This window comes from Homo sapiens, chromosome 1, assembly GCF_000001405.40.
Source record: "Homo sapiens chromosome 1, GRCh38.p14 Primary Assembly".
Classification (NCBI taxonomy): domain Eukaryota; kingdom Metazoa; phylum Chordata; class Mammalia; order Primates; family Hominidae; genus Homo; species Homo sapiens.
Window position 1 is genome coordinate 160,360,876 of NC_000001.11, and position 18,147 is coordinate 160,379,022.

At 50.3% G+C, this 18,147-nt stretch overlaps 1 protein-coding gene and 1 long non-coding RNA gene across 2 annotated transcripts in view, besides 1 other annotated feature; one reads left to right on the top strand and one right to left on the bottom strand.

Moving 5' to 3' along the window:
• Positions 6,196-11,971, top strand: NHLH1 (nescient helix-loop-helix 1). Its single transcript, NM_005598.4, has 2 exons — positions 6,196-6,462; positions 9,682-11,971. Exon 2 carries the CDS (start codon positions 9,857-9,859, stop codon positions 10,256-10,258), a length of 402 nt encoding a protein of 133 aa, NP_005589.1. The 5' UTR covers positions 6,196-6,462; positions 9,682-9,856; the 3' UTR covers positions 10,259-11,971.
• Positions 15,287-15,336: an enhancer, noted in NCBI's record as "active region_1921". NCBI's record gives its function as "activates an Ori minimal core promoter by ATAC-STARR-seq in GM12878 lymphoblastoid cells {active_cell/tissue: GM12878}" and the evidence as "EXISTENCE:reporter gene assay evidence [ECO:0000049][PMID:35858748]".
• Positions 16,540-18,147, bottom strand: part of LOC105371466 (uncharacterized) — a 30,841-nt gene continuing 29,233 nt past the window's right edge. The window contains exon 4 of the long non-coding RNA XR_007066686.1: positions 16,540-17,185. This is a non-coding gene — a long non-coding RNA (uncharacterized LOC105371466). The remainder of the gene's footprint in view (positions 17,186-18,147) is intronic.

Below are 18,147 nucleotides of genomic sequence, written 5' to 3' on the forward strand. Positions count from 1 at the left end.
TTCTCAGTTCCTTAGCCTCCACCTCTCCCTTGATCTAGGCCTTGCCTACCCATGCCTTCTGAAATATTTCATTTTCCAGCCCCTTTCCTTTCCCTGAGGGCTTTCCTCCCTACCTACTCCTGCTTGTTGCTAGCTGACACTGTACCTTCTCTTCCTCCCAACCCATGCCAATAATTGAATAACTGACCACTCCTGCCCCAAGACCCAGCCTGCCTCTGCCTATTGTGATATCTCGTCCCTCAAGACGAAGCCTTTCCTACCCACTGGTGTTTCTTTCCCAGCTTATTTGAGTAAAGGGATTTTCTATTTTTTTCTTTTTCATCTCTGGGCCACTGCTCTCAAAGGTACATATTAGGATGAGATACTGTTTACCCAGAGTACTCTGTGTCACCATTATTCAGTAGGACTTTTGTTTCTTCAAGGGACCTTAGAAATCATTTGCATAGTCTAACTCATTTGACTGAAGAGAGAAACAGCCCAGAGGAGTGATGTGGCTTGCCCAAGGTCACACAGCAAATTAGAGACAGAACTAGGATTAGAACCTTCTGTACATCTGCACGGGCAGCCACAGCAGTAATAAGCATTTATTGAGCATGGCTCTGGGCAGGGCATTCTGCCCAGCATGGACAAAGGGGAAGAGATAGAGCAACTTCCCTTGGAGATTTGGGACCTAGAGTCTAGATGGCAGGACGAGACATAAGATAAATAACAGGCAAGGCAGCATAGGCCCCATGCAAAATCAGTGCTATAAACAAGTTCTACAGAGAAGTTCAGAGGATGAAAGGTTTCCTTCCCAGGCGAGGCCAGTATGGAGGAACGTCGTGGGAAAAGCTAAGGACCAGGATTCTGCCACTAATGCTCTTTGTGACCTTGGAAAGGGCATTTCCTCCCTCTGTAAAGTGTAGTTAGACAAGGGACTGCTCTCAGGTCCCCCCTGGCTCTGTCAGTCTTGTTCTTTGAAGAGAGAGCTGGAATTGAAGCCTCTTCCTTCTCCCTTCATCTGAAAACTCGGAACAGGGAACGTTTGAGAGGTTGATCAATTCCTGAACTTTCAAAGGTAGCCGGAGAATCAACTCTAGGGAGGAAAGCCTGAGGGGCACTATTGCCCTATAACCCAGGGACAGCAGGAATATGGGGAAACTGTGGCATAACACCATAGAAAAGACCCTGTCACCCAGCATCCCATTCCCAAAAAAAGTTTGGCAGGAATCGAAGTTAAACTGGGGAAGCAGGGACCCCTGGAAGGTTGGGGTCCCAATGGGCCTCAGATTGGATTTTTATTCCTTCCTGAATTCAAACTCCAAAGCTAGAGGAGCTCTCCCACTCCTATTGTGGAAAAGGGCAGCTGTTGCCCCTGTCCCCAGTCAGGGGAAACTTGGAGCAGGAGTGGAGGGGTCATCTCAGGAGGCCTAAGGAGAAGTCATTAGTCGGAGATGATGCAATTGTGAGTAAATGTTACAGCCTCTGGCTCAGGCTAGTTGGATGCTCAGAAGCTGGGGGCTAGGACCCCTAGAGTCCCCACTATCTCCCCCAACTCACAACTGAGAAGGAGTTAGATAAACTGAGGGAAGAAAGAAAAAAAGTGAAATGAGAGGGTATCCAGAAAAGGATAAGCTAGTGAAAGGAAACTAAGGAAGTAGGGGGTTCCTGGAAGGGCTGAAGGCGGAAAGGGAGGCTGAAAGCTGTGCTGAGAGGGATCCGAGCCTGAGGGGAGAAAGGCCAGGCGGGCGTGGCCAGGAGGGGAGTAAGCCCAGAGCTGGTGGTGACAGATGGGTGGACACAAAGAAGAGAGCTTCAGGGAAGACAGATGGATGGGGGAGGGAAGAGAAGAGGTTGGGGGGGTTAGGGGGGAGCCCAGTGGTTGGAGGCCATAATGAGATTGGAGATGGACTATGAGCTGAGGAGAGGTGAGTGAAGAGGAGAGAAGAAAGGGGAGGCCGCCTTAGGAGACAAAGGCAATACAGCCTAGAGGGCCGGGAGGAGAGGGCTCAGTTGGGTGCTGAGAAGGGGGGCTTCCAGCCGGGCTGGCAGCAGAGAGAGTGACAGATTGTGTAGTGAGCCAGAGTGGAGACCCGCTGTCACCTTCCAGAGGCACAGAGAGGTGGAGACAGAGAAAGACAGACTGACAGAGACCATGTGGAAAAACAAGGAAAGAAGCTAAGACAGAAGACATCCAAGACAGGCTGTCCCTTCCCAGAAACAACAGCTCCTGCCCAGGAGGAGCAAGCTCTGCCTGTCTTGCTCCTGTGACCCAAAACACTGCCACTGTTACAAAATAACACCCTAGCCATAGGCCACTCCTGGGAAGGGTCAGGCGGTGTGGCACAGCGAGGGTTAATGTCGTCTGCTGTCCCTGCCAGCCGCTTGCCTGGTTGGGTCCCCAGGGCTCCCCACATATGTCACCCCCTCTCCTGCCAAACCCACTGCTTCCCAGCTCCTCCAGGCCCTCCCCCCACCCTCAAGGACAAGGCCCAGGCCCCTGTGTCTTCCCTACACACCAACCTCCCTCCCCTCCCTCAACGATCTACCTCTCAGGCTATGGGGAAAGATTTGTGAATCATGATCTGAAAAAGTGAATGCCTATAAAATGTAAAATAGCAGGAACACTCATTCTATTGTATCAGGTTTTGCTTGATTATCGGATTATAGCAAATAAAAGCCAGTGGAGATTTTTAAACAACAAAAAGAAAGTAAAATAACAACAAACTATAAAGCCATAATCATCCTCCTTATCCCCAGGCCCTGGTCTTCCTGTCCTCCTTGCAGCAAAGACCCACACACAACTCCAAGGGTTCTCCCTTTCACTGGGGCCAGAGGCCAGACAACCTGGGTTGGCCTCAGAGCTCTCCCCTGCCTCCACAATCATAATGCTTCAGATATATGTGTGTATGAAACTTCTTGCCACTTTTAAATCACCATAGGAGGTTGGGATGAGCACTTTATACAGTTCACCTAGCACTTTCCCATGCATTATTTCACCTGGGTGTCACTACTATAACAAAATAAAACTCAGCCAAGGTTAAGTGACTTATCCAAGGTCACCAGGACTTAGACCCATGTGTAGCTGCCCCCAAATTTAGTAGATGTAGTTCTTCCCACCATTTCATGCGTTTATGTCCTCTTTGTCACAACTATGTTCTTTTTTAGCTACTCCCCTAAGGAGCAAAAGCTGAAATCCTAAGTGAAAACTGGGGCAGGAGGCCCCAGAGTCCAGGATCCTGGGATGCCAGATGCAGAGGAGGAGGAGCAGCCCCCAGAGCACTCTTTCACCCTCCTCTCCCGTGGAACCTTAGCTTGAACTGCGACGGGTTCAGGCGGTGTGCTTCAGGGATGGAGGTTGCAGAGCTTAAGTATCTGAGCAAAATGGCCTGAAAGGAGGGAGCCCTGCAAGGGGTTTGGCTTCTTCCTGCATGCTCTATGCCATCCTCAAGGTTCCTTTCTGCTTCGGGGGTCTCTCTAGATTCTGCTTCTTTTTTCCTCAATGTCTTACTTTTTGGGATCTGGCCTCCCTGTTTCAGTAATAGTTCCTCATCTCCATCGTTCAGTTTATCACCTTTCCCCACCTTGTTCTCTTTGTCTCTGGTATTTTTTGTTTCCTCCCAACTGTCTGCTCTCTGCTTACCCCGTGCCTATGTGGCCCCACCTTGCCTTGGGGCCTCCCTCAGGACTCTGTCTCATGGTGTCAGTATTTCCCTGCCGCTGAATAGCTGTTTCCTCCACATATGTATTCATCCAAGTCTGTGTCTCCCTAGCAGCCTCCTTTTTTTTTTTTTTGACGGAGTCTTGCTCTTGTCACCCAGGCTGGAGTGCAATGGCACAATTTTGGCTCACTGCAACCTCTGCCTCCCGGGTTCAAGCGATTCTCCTGTCTCAGCCTCTCGAGTAGCTGGGATTACAGGCGCCCACCACCACGCCCAACTAATTTTTGTATTTTTAGTAGAGACAGGGTTTCACCATGTTGGTCAGGCTGGTCTCAAACTCCTGACCTTAGGTGATCCACCCGCCTCGGCCTCCCAAAGTGCTGAGATTACAGGCGTGAGCCACCGTGCCCGGCCACAGCATCCTCTTTTAAAGCCTCTCCCCAAGTCTCTATCTCTCCCATAGCTTGGGTCTCCAAGTCTTCCACAAAGCCTTGGCAACCTGGCAATTCTGTTTCCATTCTTTTTTTTTTTTTTTTTTTTAAATCTTTTTACCTCCTTTGTGTCTCAATCTCCCCATGAGACTGTGTCTTCCCATTTCCCTATGTCTTTCCCATGTCTGTTACCCAATGACTCTGGTTTCTCATTTTTTTCTCTCCCTGAGTCTCGGTATCTTCCCGTGTCTTTCTCGTCGTTTCCCTCCGCTTCCCCTGTCTCTGTTCATCTCCCCTTCTTTCTGTATCTCTCATCTCCCCCATGGCACTCTCTCCTGAGTCTCTTGGTCTCCCAATTTCTTGGATGGGGTGGAGGGCAGGAGAGTGGAGGAGGTAGAATTGTTGTTGCTGGGGGCTCATTAGGTGGAGATTGGTTTTTAATCAGCACCATGGCAATGATGATGCAAGAACTGAGATGCCACCTGATCCCCTGCCCCCCAGCCCCCCTCCTCAAGCCTCCTTTCCCCTCCAGCTCAGCCCATCTGCTGGCGCCTGGGCACCTGTCTGGGCCTGCCCAGGTGGGAGTTGGCACCTCCCAGACTCAGGGATGGGGGCAGGTGGGGGAGCTTGGGGAGGAATTATGGGACCCCCTTAGGGAATGCTTCACCCTGGAGAAAGCCCAGAAAAGGTTGACCAGCAACAGGGAAATGGCAAGTCCCTCCAGCCTGAAGGTGGGATGTGCTCCTACTAAGCTCTAGGCCCACTACACATATTATCTCCCTTAATTTCCATGGCAACCTAAGAAGCAGCTATAATCAACCCCATTTTACAGGAAAAGAGGTCCAGGCTCAAAAGGTTGTTATTTGTCCAAGGTCACACAGCTGACAGAGCCTTTTTCACTGTACCACACTACCTCTGGAGTCCTCTCCAGTCATGGTTCTTTTGAATACTCTCAAAGGTTCAGAGAAGACATCCAACAGCTGAGTGGGGAGAGAACTTCAGACACTGAAACCCTCTATGCACTGTCTCTCTATGCACTCTGGTCCCTGTGCTGCCCCTCCTCAATCCTGCCACTCGGCAACACACACATACACACACACACTCACACTTACATTCACATTCACACACACTTGCATATACATGCTGGAGGCTGCTGAGCTATTGATGGGAGCTTAATCAGTGCCCATTTGCATATAATTTTGTGTCTGGTTTTCTTATTGCTGATTTGATGCCCTCAAAACACACTCAGAGCCTGCCTAGGCTGCCCTGCCCTCCTCTCCCAGTGTCCTTCCAATCCTGGTTCTTCCTGTCTTGGCACTCCTCCACTCCTCTCCTTTTAGCCCTTACCTCTTTCTTCCTAAGAGCCCTCTAATTCCCAGTGGGTCAGGTTGGGCTGGCCAGCCTAGAAAAACTCCTTGTGGGGTCTGTGTCCCAAATTTGATCCTGCTCCTCCCCTTGGTGATGGGTTAGGTAGGAAGATAGCGGGTGGGGTAAGAGGGTATGGGGGTGATTGAGTCCCAGGGTGATGAGGGTAGGGGCCTGAACAGTTGCTACAGGCAGGCTGGCAAGCAGTGGGTACCAGCTTTATGAAGGATAAGAGCTTGAGGGCCAGGACCCTAGGGTCCTCTTCTGCATTTTAGTGCTACCCACTTGCTCTTTTCTCGGTTTCCCTGTTAGTACCTTGAAGAGTCTCCCTCTCAGGAAAAAAGAGACACCAGGAAGGGGCTGTCCAAGTCACGCTGGGACTCCGAATGGGGCCATGGCACTTAACCATAGCTTGCTGGGAGCCTCTGCCCTGCTGCCTCTGGTGTGGGAGACTGAGGGGGTTCATCTGTGGTCCTGCCCTGGCTCTCGCCCCAGCCCCACCCCTTCCCCAGCTCTCCATTTCTTGCTTATGAAATATGCATGGAGAACAGATGTCCCTGCTCCCCCGCTCCCCGCCCCCACCCAGGGCCAGCCCCCGCCCCCAGCTCCCGAGGGGTTCCCAGATCCCTCTGCCAATGGCTGCCTGGCCTGGCTGTTTAATATTGATGAGGGGGGGGTGGGCCTGGGCCAGCCAATGGAGAGCTGGGGGTGTGTGTGTGTATCTCCATATATATACATAGGGCTGGGCCAGCTCAGGTGTGTGTGTCTGAGGGTGTGTGTGTGAGTGTGGCTGGCCCCAGTACCTGGCCAAGCCCACCACTTCCACCTGGGCCCTACACCCCCACAATGTGTACCCCTCTTATCTGCCCTGGAGCCTGTACAGCCATGCCACGCTACCCCTGAGAGTCTAGAAAGCTGGTCACTAACTTTGCAGACGGATGAGCCTTGAGCACCCAGAGGAGACTGGGGCTGTCAACGCTGCCCCTTGTCCTGCCGGCTTGGATCCCCTGACAGGGTCCTTCTAGGTAAAGGGGAAACCATGGGCGGGGAGGGATGGGCGTGTCCCTCCCATTCTCTGGCTCAAGCCCCTTCCTAGAGCCTCCCTCTAGTTCTCTCCCTTGTGCGCTGTGTCTCTCCCTGTCTCCGCGTGTCCCTCTTCTCCACTCCTCCCCTTCGACTCTTTGTGCCTATCTATCCTCAGTTGGGTTAGGGCTGGCAGAAGTGGGGTGGGAAGTCCTGTCCTGCAGGCTTGGAATTGCTGCTCCCCTGATCCTTGGACCCTGGAACTTTGAGACCAGAAGTGGATTTGGGGGTGAGGACTTGATGGGTAAATAGAAGCTGCTGCCGGGACTGGAACTGGGGAGGACAATGGGGCCAGGTGGAGATGAGACTGGGGCCAGATGGGGAGCACGGAGAGGGGAAGGAAGGGCATGGCAAAGTGATGAGGGATGAAGGAACATAGGGACCGGGCAGAGAGAATTAGCCTGTGATAGATGTGATAAATGTGTTGGGAACTCCGCAGCTGAACTCCTGCTCCCAGCCCCAGCATGGGGGGTGGGGAGTTGGGGGCACTAAACATGTACTGGGAGGTGCTGACTTTGGGGCCTCCCACACTATTGCCATCCCCCCATAGTTCATTTGAACCCCAGAATATGGAATGTGTTCTCAATTTCAGCACTAACCACCTTCTGTTTCCTGTTAAGATTGTGTGTGTACTTGTCATCAGATGTGGATGACTTTGCATCCCTCCAGAGCTTCATAGCTGTTTGTTGGCTTGACTTGAACCTATCTTCTGTGTGGTGGGGTGGGGCAAGGCTTGGGAGGATCCTAACCCCTTTGAGAGTATCTATCAGACAGGAAAGCCAGGGCTGGGGAGGAAGGGGAGATAGTGATGGTGCAGGCACCTTGGTGCTTCTGTTTCTAATCATTCTTAGTTGAGCTGATGGTGAGTGGCCCACTGTTCCCCTTTAACACTGCACACAAGCAAAGCCCTTTCCCCAGCTTTTCCCAGGCCATGTTTGTGCTGCCTTGCCCTGATCTCCTCTGGTCCTAGGACAAGCAAACCTTAGCTGAGTCCCATAAGGGTAGCTCCAAAAATCTGTCTGTGTCCTCTGCAGGCCGTGTCTGAACCTTCCTTGGGCTATGGGAGAGTATGGGGGTAGAAGGTTGATTATGTTCCCTTTCCCCAATCTTCCTTGCCCAGCCTCCAAAAGGGCCAGGGAATGGCAAGGGCTGAAAATTTCGAAGACAGAGGTGGAGGAAGAGGCTGGTTGTGCACAGTGGGGTGGTGGTGAGAAGAGATATCTTCCCCTGGTTTTAGTGGACAGGATCTCATATCTACAATGGTTCTGCTGGGAAGGTTTGGGGAACTGGGAGGGGAGCTGTGCAGAGCTGGGGCAGCTGCGCAGAGCTCCATATGTCCTAGTCTATTCTACAATGGGCAATCTGTGTGTTTATCCGCTCCTCCACCTCAGGCAGCAAGGGTGGAGAGGGGCCCTGAGAGGGAGGGGACCACAGGGCCAAGGCTTGTATTCTCCCCTCACAACTGGGAAGCATCTAGAGTCATAGCTAACTTCTCTTGGGGCTGTGGCTGCAGTCTTGCTCAGATTTTTTCCTCCTTTTATTTATTCATTTAGATAAAAAACAGCATACAATTTATAATCTTAACCATTTTTAAGTGTACAATTCAGTAGTGTTCAGTATATTCACATTGTTGTGAAACAGATCTCTAGCAATTTTTCATCCTGCAAATGTATAATTCTATACCCACTAAACAACAACTCCCCTTTACCCCCTCCCTCCAGCCCCTGGCAACGGCCATTCTACTTTCTGTTTCTATGAATTAGACTACTTTAAATACCTCATATAAGTGGAGCTATACAGTATTTGTGTTGTTACTGGTTTATTTCACTTATCATCATATCCTCAAGGTTCATTCATGCTGTAGCATGTGACAGAACTTCCTTTTTAGGGCTGAATAATATTCCACTGTATGTATATAATACATTTTGTTTATCTGTTGTCTATTGATGGACATTTGGGTTGCTTCTACCTCTTGGCTATTGTGAATAGTGCTGCTATGAACATGAGTGTGCAAATATCTCTTTGACACCCTACTTTATTTGTATATATACCCAGAGGTAGGATTCCTGGAGCATATGGTAGTTCTATTTTTTATTTTTTGAGGAACATTTATACTGTTTTCCATAGTGGTTGCATCATTTTGCAATCCCAACAAGGCATAAGGGTTCCAATTTCTCCACATCCTTGCCAAGACTTATTTTTTGTTTGTTTGGTTTTTGTTTTTATAGTAGCCATCCTAATGGGTATGAAGTGATATTTCATAGTGGGTTTGATTTGCATTTTAATGATTAGTGATGTTGAACATTTTTTCATATGCTTGTTGGCCATTTGTATAAAATCTTTGGAGAAATGTGTATTCTAGTCCTTTACCCATTTTTTTCTTAAAAAATGTTTATTTATATAAATTTATGGGGTACAAGTGCAATTTTGTTACATGCATAGATTGCATAATGGTCAAGTCAGGGCTCTTAGGATGTCCATCACCTGAATAACATACACGGTACCCATTCTGTAATTTCTCATTTCACGCCCCTCCCAATCCCTCCTTTGCCCATTTTTAAATTGGGTTATTTGATTTTTTGCTGTTGTTGAGTTGTAGGATTTATTTATATGTTCTGGATATTAACCCCTTATCAGATATATAATTTGCAAATATTTTCTCCCATTCCATAGATTGCCTTTTCACTCTGTTGATTATGTTCGTCAATAAATTAAAGTCTGATGTGGTCCCGTTTTTTCTATTTTTGCTTTTTGTTGCCTGTGCTTTTGGTGTCATTTCCAAGAAATCACTGCTGAGTCCAACATCATGAAGGTCTCTCCCTATGTTTTCTTCTAGGAGTTTTATGGTTTTAAGTCTTTAATCCTCTTGCTCAGTTTTAACCTGCCTGGTGTATCCTTCTCATCACTTCTGTTCCTTTCCTGTTACTCGTTTTCTCTTCCCTTCTTACTACCTTTCGTCCTCCTCTTCCTTTCACCCTGTCCACCTGCCTCTCTGTCTCTCGGCCTCTCCCCACCCCCCGACCCCCACCAGTTTCTGCTGTTCTTCCCTCACATTCACAGTTCCTTACCCCTCCCAGCCCATCTCAAACCTGCTTTCCCACCTCTGAGCTGAGCATTCCCTCCTCCCTCCGCTGCTATCACTTCTCTCTTCTCTTTTTCAGGCTTCAGACTGGCACCCTGACCATGGAACCCTGAAGTGGCAGTGACTTCTAGAGCTCAGTGGCAGACCCCACGACCCTTCCTCCCCCTTCCTCCCCCTCCCACCACCAGCTTTCAAGCTCCCAGAGGGAGGGGTGGGGAGGGGATCCTGATCTCACAGGGCAGGGGGCTTCCATCATGATGCTCAACTCAGACACCATGGAGCTGGACCTGCCGCCCACCCACTCAGAGACTGAGTCGGGCTTCAGTGACTGTGGGGGCGGGGCGGGCCCTGATGGTGCCGGGCCTGGGGGTCCGGGAGGGGGCCAGGCCCGAGGCCCAGAGCCGGGAGAGCCTGGCCGGAAAGACCTGCAGCATCTGAGCCGCGAGGAGCGCCGGCGCCGGCGCCGCGCCACAGCCAAGTACCGCACGGCCCACGCCACGCGAGAACGCATCCGCGTGGAAGCCTTCAACCTGGCCTTCGCCGAGCTGCGCAAGCTGCTGCCTACGCTGCCCCCCGACAAGAAGCTCTCCAAGATTGAGATTCTGCGCCTGGCCATCTGCTATATCTCCTACCTGAACCACGTGCTGGACGTCTGAACTCAGCCTGTCTCCCACCTCCCGGGCCTCTCTGGGGCCCCTTTCCACCGCTCACTGCTTAGAAAGGCCGCATCCTCCCCGAGCCCTTATACCTTGGCATGGAGTCCCAAAGGCCCTGGGCACAGGCAGAGAGCCCACCGGCTGGTCATGAGGGCCTCTTCCTTTCTCTGACCCAGGCACCTCGAGGGCTATTCTCCTGGGTTCCTTCCGGGGTTTATTGCTGAGGCCCAGCTGTGCAGAATTGTTTGCTAGTGTGGTTGGTATGGAATCCTTGCTGGCTTTACTAAGCCAGCCACACTTGGAGTCTGCCCCCAAGCTCTCTCACTGAATGCTGCCTCTTCTACCCCTATGTCCAAATTTTCAGCCACCACAGACCTCAGCTGTGTATCCTATCTGTTCTAGCTTCTCCTGCCCCTGGTGGGGATGGGCTGTCAGAATTGCAAGGGAGGAAGGCTGGGGTTAGAGTGGGGAGTGGGCTTCTTCCTCCAAGATCTCAGTCTCTCAGTGCTTGGCAGAGGGGTGAGGCCCTGGGGAGGCAGGGGTTGGTGCCCTGACTCCTGTGAGGGGAATCTCAGTAGCTGGGAATTATGGAAAAACTCTTCCTGTTTCTGTCCATCTTGTTCCTGTGGCTTAGCACATACAGACCTCAGATCTTACTTGGTAGTGAGTGCCTTGCCCTCTTTGAGCTATTTGGCTACTTCCCTGTCCCTCTGACTCCTACTGTCCCAATTTTCTCCCTCCCTGTGTGTCACTAGAGAAAAAAAAAAACAAAAACCTAGATTCCGGATTAGGGGATGACATCCCAAACAGCCCGGAGTATTTGCAGAAGGCTCAGGCAACGAGTGGGCCACATCTCACTTCTGCTTCCTCATCTCAGCCCACTCTGAAAATGTGCAGCACCCTCACTGGTTCCTCCCCCCAACGCAAGGAGGATGCCCAATTGTTGCCCTCTGAAAATGCACAGTTCTCCTGGCCCTAGGACTTACTTATTACATTTTTTTCTCTTTCCTTGAGCTGCCTTTGGCAAGGGAAGAGACCCCCAACTCTGCGCCCCTACTCCATGCTGCTGATCCCCACCTGCGCACTATAGCTCAGGGTCAGCAGTGGAATGAAGGGCCTTAGAACCTGCATAGAAGAAATGAACTCACTGCATTTCTGTGCTCCCTCCTCCCTCGCACCAAACTCCTAGCTCTACAAGTATATTTATTTATTTATTTATTTATTCATCTATTTATTTACTTATTTATTTATTTATAAATATTGCTATTTATTGCCGAGTTGTGCACTTTGGGGTAGAGTGAGGGGCTCCCAGCAGCTCTAGCTGGGTCTCTCTTGCTTCCTCCCTGCTTACGCCTTTCCTTTTCTTGCTCCTTCTTCAACTCCTGGTGTGTGTGAGCATGCCCTTTGCTTGCCACACCATATCCTTTCCCCAGATCCACCTGTCCTGACACTCTAGTCCTCCAGGATAGTGCTCCTCCCCCAGCTCCAGGGCTCCTGGATGTCCTTCCTCAACTCCCTCCACCCCTAGACAATCCTACCTGGTCCCATCTGCCTCTTTTCTCTCCCCAGCCTGCCCTGTGACCCTTGCCTCTTCCTGATACTCCCAAGAGCAGGCCCCAGGGGTCTGTGTCACATATCTCTGTGTGATTCCTTCTGGTTGCATCCCCAATTTCATACAAAAAGAAAAATAAAAGTGACCTCGTTCTAGCACCAGGTATGGTTGTGGCTCATTCAATTGGGTTAGGAAGCTGGCCTGCAGGTTATGGTAGGGTGGGCATTGAGGGTCCTAGGCTTCGTAGGCTCTTCTGATGGGGTCAGGAGAGCTCAGTTTGGGGAACAAATGAAGACAGAGAAAAGGGGCCACAGGGAAAAGAGGTGCAGGGGAGAGTATAACATACAGGTCCAAGATCTCCTCACCAAAATCTGGGTGCCAGATACTCCCTTCTTGGCACTAATTTAGTGACACTATCTGACTTCTCTGATGTTGTGCTTCCGCTCCTGCTCTCTATGGCCTGAGAAGGAGGTGAATATTTCGGTGGAACCCAAGTTAAACATGTGTCTGTGGGTCCATGCTGCTGGGAAAAGCTATGGTATGAAACTGAGACATTGCCTTCCCCTTTATTGTCTCTAGGCTGGGTCAAAATTCCCTGCAATCTCAGTTCTTGGCCTATTTTGTGTTCCCCAGCCTTAGGATACTGGGGAAAACAGATGGCAGGCCTGGGACTCAGAGAAGAATATGGACAGGGATAAAAAAAAAAAAAGAGTGCTGAAGGGACCCTCAAATGAATTTATAGATGGGGACACTAAAGCTCAGAGAAGGGTAGGGTCTTACCCAAGGCCACACAGCTAACTGGGGGCACAACTAAGGCCCAAATCCAGGTTCTTTCTACCATATGCTGCCAACTCCCCTCTGCCTCCCTAAAATGACCCAGGCTGACAGTTAGCCCTCTTTTGGACCCCATATTTTCATAGGTGCATTGATAAACTAGAGAGGATTTAGGGTTGTGTGGCGAAGAAACCAAAAGGTCTGGAGACCACTTTATAGAAGAAATAGTTGAAAAACTGAGGATATGTGTCTTGATAAGAGTAGACTTGGGGGTAATATGACACCCATCTTTAAATATTGAAAGAAGAATCAAAAATGGATATTCTGTGGGGCCCCAGTAGGCCGAACAAAACCCGTGAGTAGAAGTTAGAAGAAAGCAGATTTTAATTTGAAGAAAAATTTTGCAACACCTGGAGCTGTCCAGCAATGGCACTGACTGCCTCAAGAGGAGAACTCCAAATAGAGAAGCTGGAGAGTCAACCACACGCAGAGAAATCATAGAGCACATTGCTGCCTCAGATGGAACACTGGCTAGGTTCATTAGAAGATCCTCTCCAAACTTAAGGTCATACGAGAAGGCTGAAGGCAAACAGCAGGAGGGAAATGCAGAGACAACTTTCAGTCCCTGAAATATTTTCTTTTTTCTTTTTATCTTTTTGAGACAGAGTCTTGCTCTATTGCCCAGGCTGGAGTGCAGTGGCGGGATCTTGGCCCACTGCAACATCCACCTCCCCATTCAAGCCATTCTCGTGGTTCAGCCTCCTGAGTAGCTGGGACTACAGGCGCCCGCTGTCATGCCCGGCTAATTTTTGTGTTTTTAGTAGAGATGGGTTTTCGCCATGTTGGTCAGACTGGTCTCTAACTCCTGGCCTGAAGTGATCCTGCTGCCTTGGCCTCCTAAAATACTGGGATTACAGGCATGAATCACCATGCCCAGCTATGGGTTTTCATCTTTGATGAACAAAGAATGACATAAGCAGCATGAAGGGCTTGAGTTAGACCTAGGGAGGAGCTTCCATACAGGAGGACTTGACATCTTCCCCTTCCCATGTGAGTTAAATGACATGTGCTCTGCCCAGAGCCTGGCAAAAGGGAAGGCTGAACTGAGATCAGGGAGAACTTCAGGACTCCAAAGGGCCAGAGTTGGACGGGAACACAGAAATCACTGAATCCAACAACTTTATTTCAAAGGCAGGTAAACTACTGTCCAGACAGGTGACGTGACTCACCCATGATGATGGCCTGGGATTAGAAGCCAAGTCTTCCATTCCTGGCCCTGAGAGCTTTGTGCTTCTCTGTGCTCAGCAGCCACAGTCCTCTGGGCTCCCTGCCTCCCTCTCTTGTCTCTTTGCCTGGGCTGGAGAGCAGAAGGGCTTAGGGGGCCCCTCCCCTCAGGGATCCCTGAGGGCCTGGAGGTGGTGAGAGGGGGAAGCTGCAGCTGTTCTACTGCTAGCTCCGAATTTCTTCAGATAATCAATTGGCCTCGCTGCCGCTGTCGCTCTTGTTGCTCTTCTCACTCTGGGAAGGACAGGAGAAGGAGGTGGAGAGTGGGAAGAGGAGGGAGCAGGGGACCAGGCACTGGGGGAGGAGGGAGAGGGCAGGGAGATGGAAGTCCCTGGGCTGAGGGGAAAGTGAAAGCTTTGGGGCTAGCAGATAGGGAGGATGGGGAAAAGGGATTGTTAGAAGAGGATCTGCTCTGCATCCCTCATTCCACATCCCTCTAAACCCAACTCGTGGGTGGTGGGGTGGGGGAGGGGCAGTTAGGAGGACCCCAGAATGGGACTCTTGCACTTCACCCCTGCTTCCTTACTCCCCTTGCCAAGTATCCCATGCATGGCCATAGCTCCCCCAGCTGTCCATGCCCTCTTCCAGTCCTAGTGACCACAGGTGCCTGACCCTCCAGTCCTGTCTTCATCAACGCCCTGTCCTGTAACTCAGCAAACCCATCACCAGTGACAGAGCAGAAGTCAAGGCCCCAGGGGCTGGGTGGGGGTTGCCTAAAATCTCTCTCTCTCTCTCTCTCTCTCTCTCTCTCACACACACACACACACACACGCGCACACACACACACTGTCATAGGCTGCCAGGCATATGGCCTCTTTGTGCCCACACAATGGAGGCCCTGTCTGTGCCCTTTCCCAAGTCTGGGCACAGTGTGGAGGGTGCTCCGCTTCCTCATTCCACCCACCTCCCTTCCCTCTCCACCCCCAGTGCAGGCCCTGTCTTCTTTGCCTTTGCTTCTTCCTCTTTCTGGAAAGCCCTTTCTACCACCCAGTTCCTTTATCTTTCTGCTTTCTTCTTGTGTTCTTTCCTGAGCTTTTGACCTCTCATTGGATGAGGATTATGGGCAGAAGAAAGAGGCTCACAGTGCTGGGATGTCAGCGCAGGGAGGAGAAGGGAGCAAGCAGAGATGAGCCTGAAAGGCTGAGAGGGAGTGGAAGAAGGGAGGCAGTGGTGGCAGTGCAGCAACACTGTGCTAGAGGGGAGAAAGCCCACACCCGGCAGCCAGAGGTCCCGTGTCCCTGCTCTGTCTCCACCTTTCCCCTTTGTGCCACAGTGAGCAAACCGCATGCCCTCCCTGAGCAACAGCTTTTTCATATGGAAAGCAGGAAAGACAACAAGACCCACCGGGGTGTGATGAGGATTAAATGAGATCATCGTGAAAGTGTTCAACACCGGAAACGCTCATCAGATGCTATCTCAGGGGCAGTAAGTAGCAGGGTCAACTGTACTGTCATACAGTTTGTGCACTTTACAAAGCACCAGGCTAAGGGCAGTGCAGGGGCCTGACACCCAACCCCACTTCTACTAGACCAGCTGTGCACCAGGATGCAAGCATCCCCTGAGAGGTGGCCCTGGAACTGAGCCCCTCATGTGGGTTCCTGAGCATTGGTCAGGAGTCCAGATGAAAACTCCGAAGTCCTGACCACCTTGGGAACCAAGACAGAATGGAAAGGGACAAGAGGCTAAGGGGAATGTCTCTCCCTGAGGGGGAAATTCCTGAGCTTAGTCTTCTCTGAGCAAATAGACAATCCATGAGATCTACTAAACTAAGGATGGAGAAACTGCAGCTGAGGAGAAGAAGGGGGCTGAAGAAGCAGAAAAAAAAGAGGGAGACATGGATCGAGGGTGTGATCAGAGCAATGTGTTGGTCTGAGGACCCTTTTCTGGTTCCCTCGTCCTCCATTCCCTCCCTTCAGCAAGTTGAAGGCTGATTTGATTATTGCTTGTTGAACACTGTCCCCTGCTGGCTACTAGCAGAAACATTTTCCCTCTTCCCTATCCCTAGCTAGGAGCTGCTGAGAGCCTGAAAAAGAGAAGAAATGACCTGACTGGGGACAAAGGACGAAGGAATTGCAATTCTGCAATCTGGAATTCTCTACTTGTCAGAGATTTCTGGAAGGTGAAGGAGGCTTGAAGGCTGACTAGGGGTAAACAGAGTTTAGAATTCATAGGTGGTTCATTTACATATATTATGGCCTATAATTTTCAGATTGATTTTTTTCTGGTCTGTGTCTGTTTCATGTATTGTGTGTCTGTGTTATGTGTGTGTTCTGTATCTGGGCGTGCTTACCTGATTCTGTGGTTTTTGAACACGTGTATATCTGTGTACTTTTTTGTGTGTGTGCTCTTTTTAATATAGGAGTCTGAGTGACAGCTGGCAGGTATGGAGCAAGGAGAGGGAGCTGTCGAATTTCCTCTTTCCTAGAAGCCCGTTCTCCCCTTGAAGTTTTACCTTTGTCTCCCAGCTCCATGAGCTATAACCTATGGCTATTTATAGGTTACAGGTTTTGTTCTGGCTCCTGCCCCTCTTTGGACATCCCAAGCTCAGAGCCTTGATTCGCTCTAACCTGGGACTCTTGGGCCTCCCAAGCAGGGTCTCCAGTGTGGTTCCCAAGTGAGAATCTCTACTGTCTATGTCCCTTTTATCCTTTCTAGCATTAAACTCCAGCCTCCTTCTTTTATAAGCTTGTAGCTACCTCTTTCATTGGTTGATTTCAATTTATTCAGTGCAGCATGCCTTTATGGAATAGCCAATGTATACCGGGCACTGTTCTGGATTCTGAAATACAGGATCAGGCCCTCCCCACCACCTACTTGGGAGGGAGTATGGGAGACAGGCATGTAAACATATCAGTTTCCCAACAGTGAGAGGCATCTGCAAGGAAGCGAGTGATTACCTGAGAGAGGGTGTTGGTGAGGAAGGCAGCCGGTAAACTCTGAGCTGGGTTTTGAAGACCATGAGATACGTACAGTGAATTCTGTGGTGTGCTCCACTCACTTCTCCAGCTGTGGAAGTGTTGACTCACAGCTGAGTCCCTCTCCAGGAATTGCCTTTGGAGGAAGAAAGCCGCCTTGCCTGAGGTGTTGCTCTTTCCCTAGGGCAATGACTGGTTGATGTGGGGTTACAAAGTTATCCCAGCTTGAGAGCCCCCATGGGATGGACAGAAGCCTCTGTTGCCATTGCATTGCTTTTCAGTTTCTCTCTCGGCTTATTGCAGCTTCCCTCACACCTCACAGGTGTTCTCAAGAACTCTCCTGCTGGCACTCTCCTGTATACGATCTCAGAGTTCAGGAATCCACTTCCCAGGGAACCCCACCTACAAAGGAAAGGCACTGTAGGTATGAAGGCATGGAACCCTGAGAAGCTCTGGTGAGCAAGAGCACACTATTAGCAGTGTGGTATTGTTGGGACATTAAGTGCAAGGGGCTGGTGGGACAGGAAAGTGACGGAATGGTCTGGAGAGGTAAGCAGGGGCCAGGTCAGGAGAAGCATAATAGGGAGTGTGTGCTTGGCCACACAGTGATGGGAAACCAATGAACATTCTCTAGTGGGGTAGATAAACACTATCATCAGATGTACACTTTAGAAATATCACTTTCAGAACATTTCTTTCTTTCTTTCTTTCTTTCTTTCTTTTTTTTTTTTTTAAGAGAGAGTCTTGCTCTGTCACCCAGGCTGGAGTGCAGTGGTGCAATCTCGGTTCACTGTAACCTCTGCCTCTGGGTTCAAGTCATTCTCCTGCCTCAGCCTCCTAAGTAGCTGGGATTATAGGTGTGCACCAACACACCCGGCTAATTTTTTATTTATTTATTTTTTGAGATGGAGTCTTGCTCTGTCGCCAGGCTGAAGTACAGTGGGGTGATCTTGGCTCACTGCAATCACCGTCTCCTGGGTTCAAGCAATTCCCCTGCCTCAGCCTCTCAAGTAGCTGGGAGCACAGGCGGGCACCACCACGCCCGACTAATTTTTTGTACTTTAGTAGAGACGGGGTTTCACCCTGTTGGGCCAGGCTGGTCTCGATCTCCTGACCTCAAATGATCTGCCTGCCTCGGCCTCCCAAAGTGCTGGGATTAGAGGTGAGAGCCACCACGCCTGGCCACTTTTAGGACATTTCTGATCATAGCTGCGTAAAGGTAAGCTCTGTGCAGGGAACAGTTTTAGGAGGCTATCGCAAAGTCAGCTGCAAGAAGCTGAGGGTCTGTATTTAGGTAGCGGCAGTAGGAATGGGGAAGGGAGGACAGATTTAGGAAGCTATTTAAATGGTAGATTCAACAGGAT

What these genes read in the sequence shown, in the direction of transcription:
- NHLH1 (NM_005598.4), top strand. Translation starts at nt 9,857, where the DNA reads ATGATGCTCAACTCAGACACCATGGAGCTGGACCTGCCGCCCACCCAC.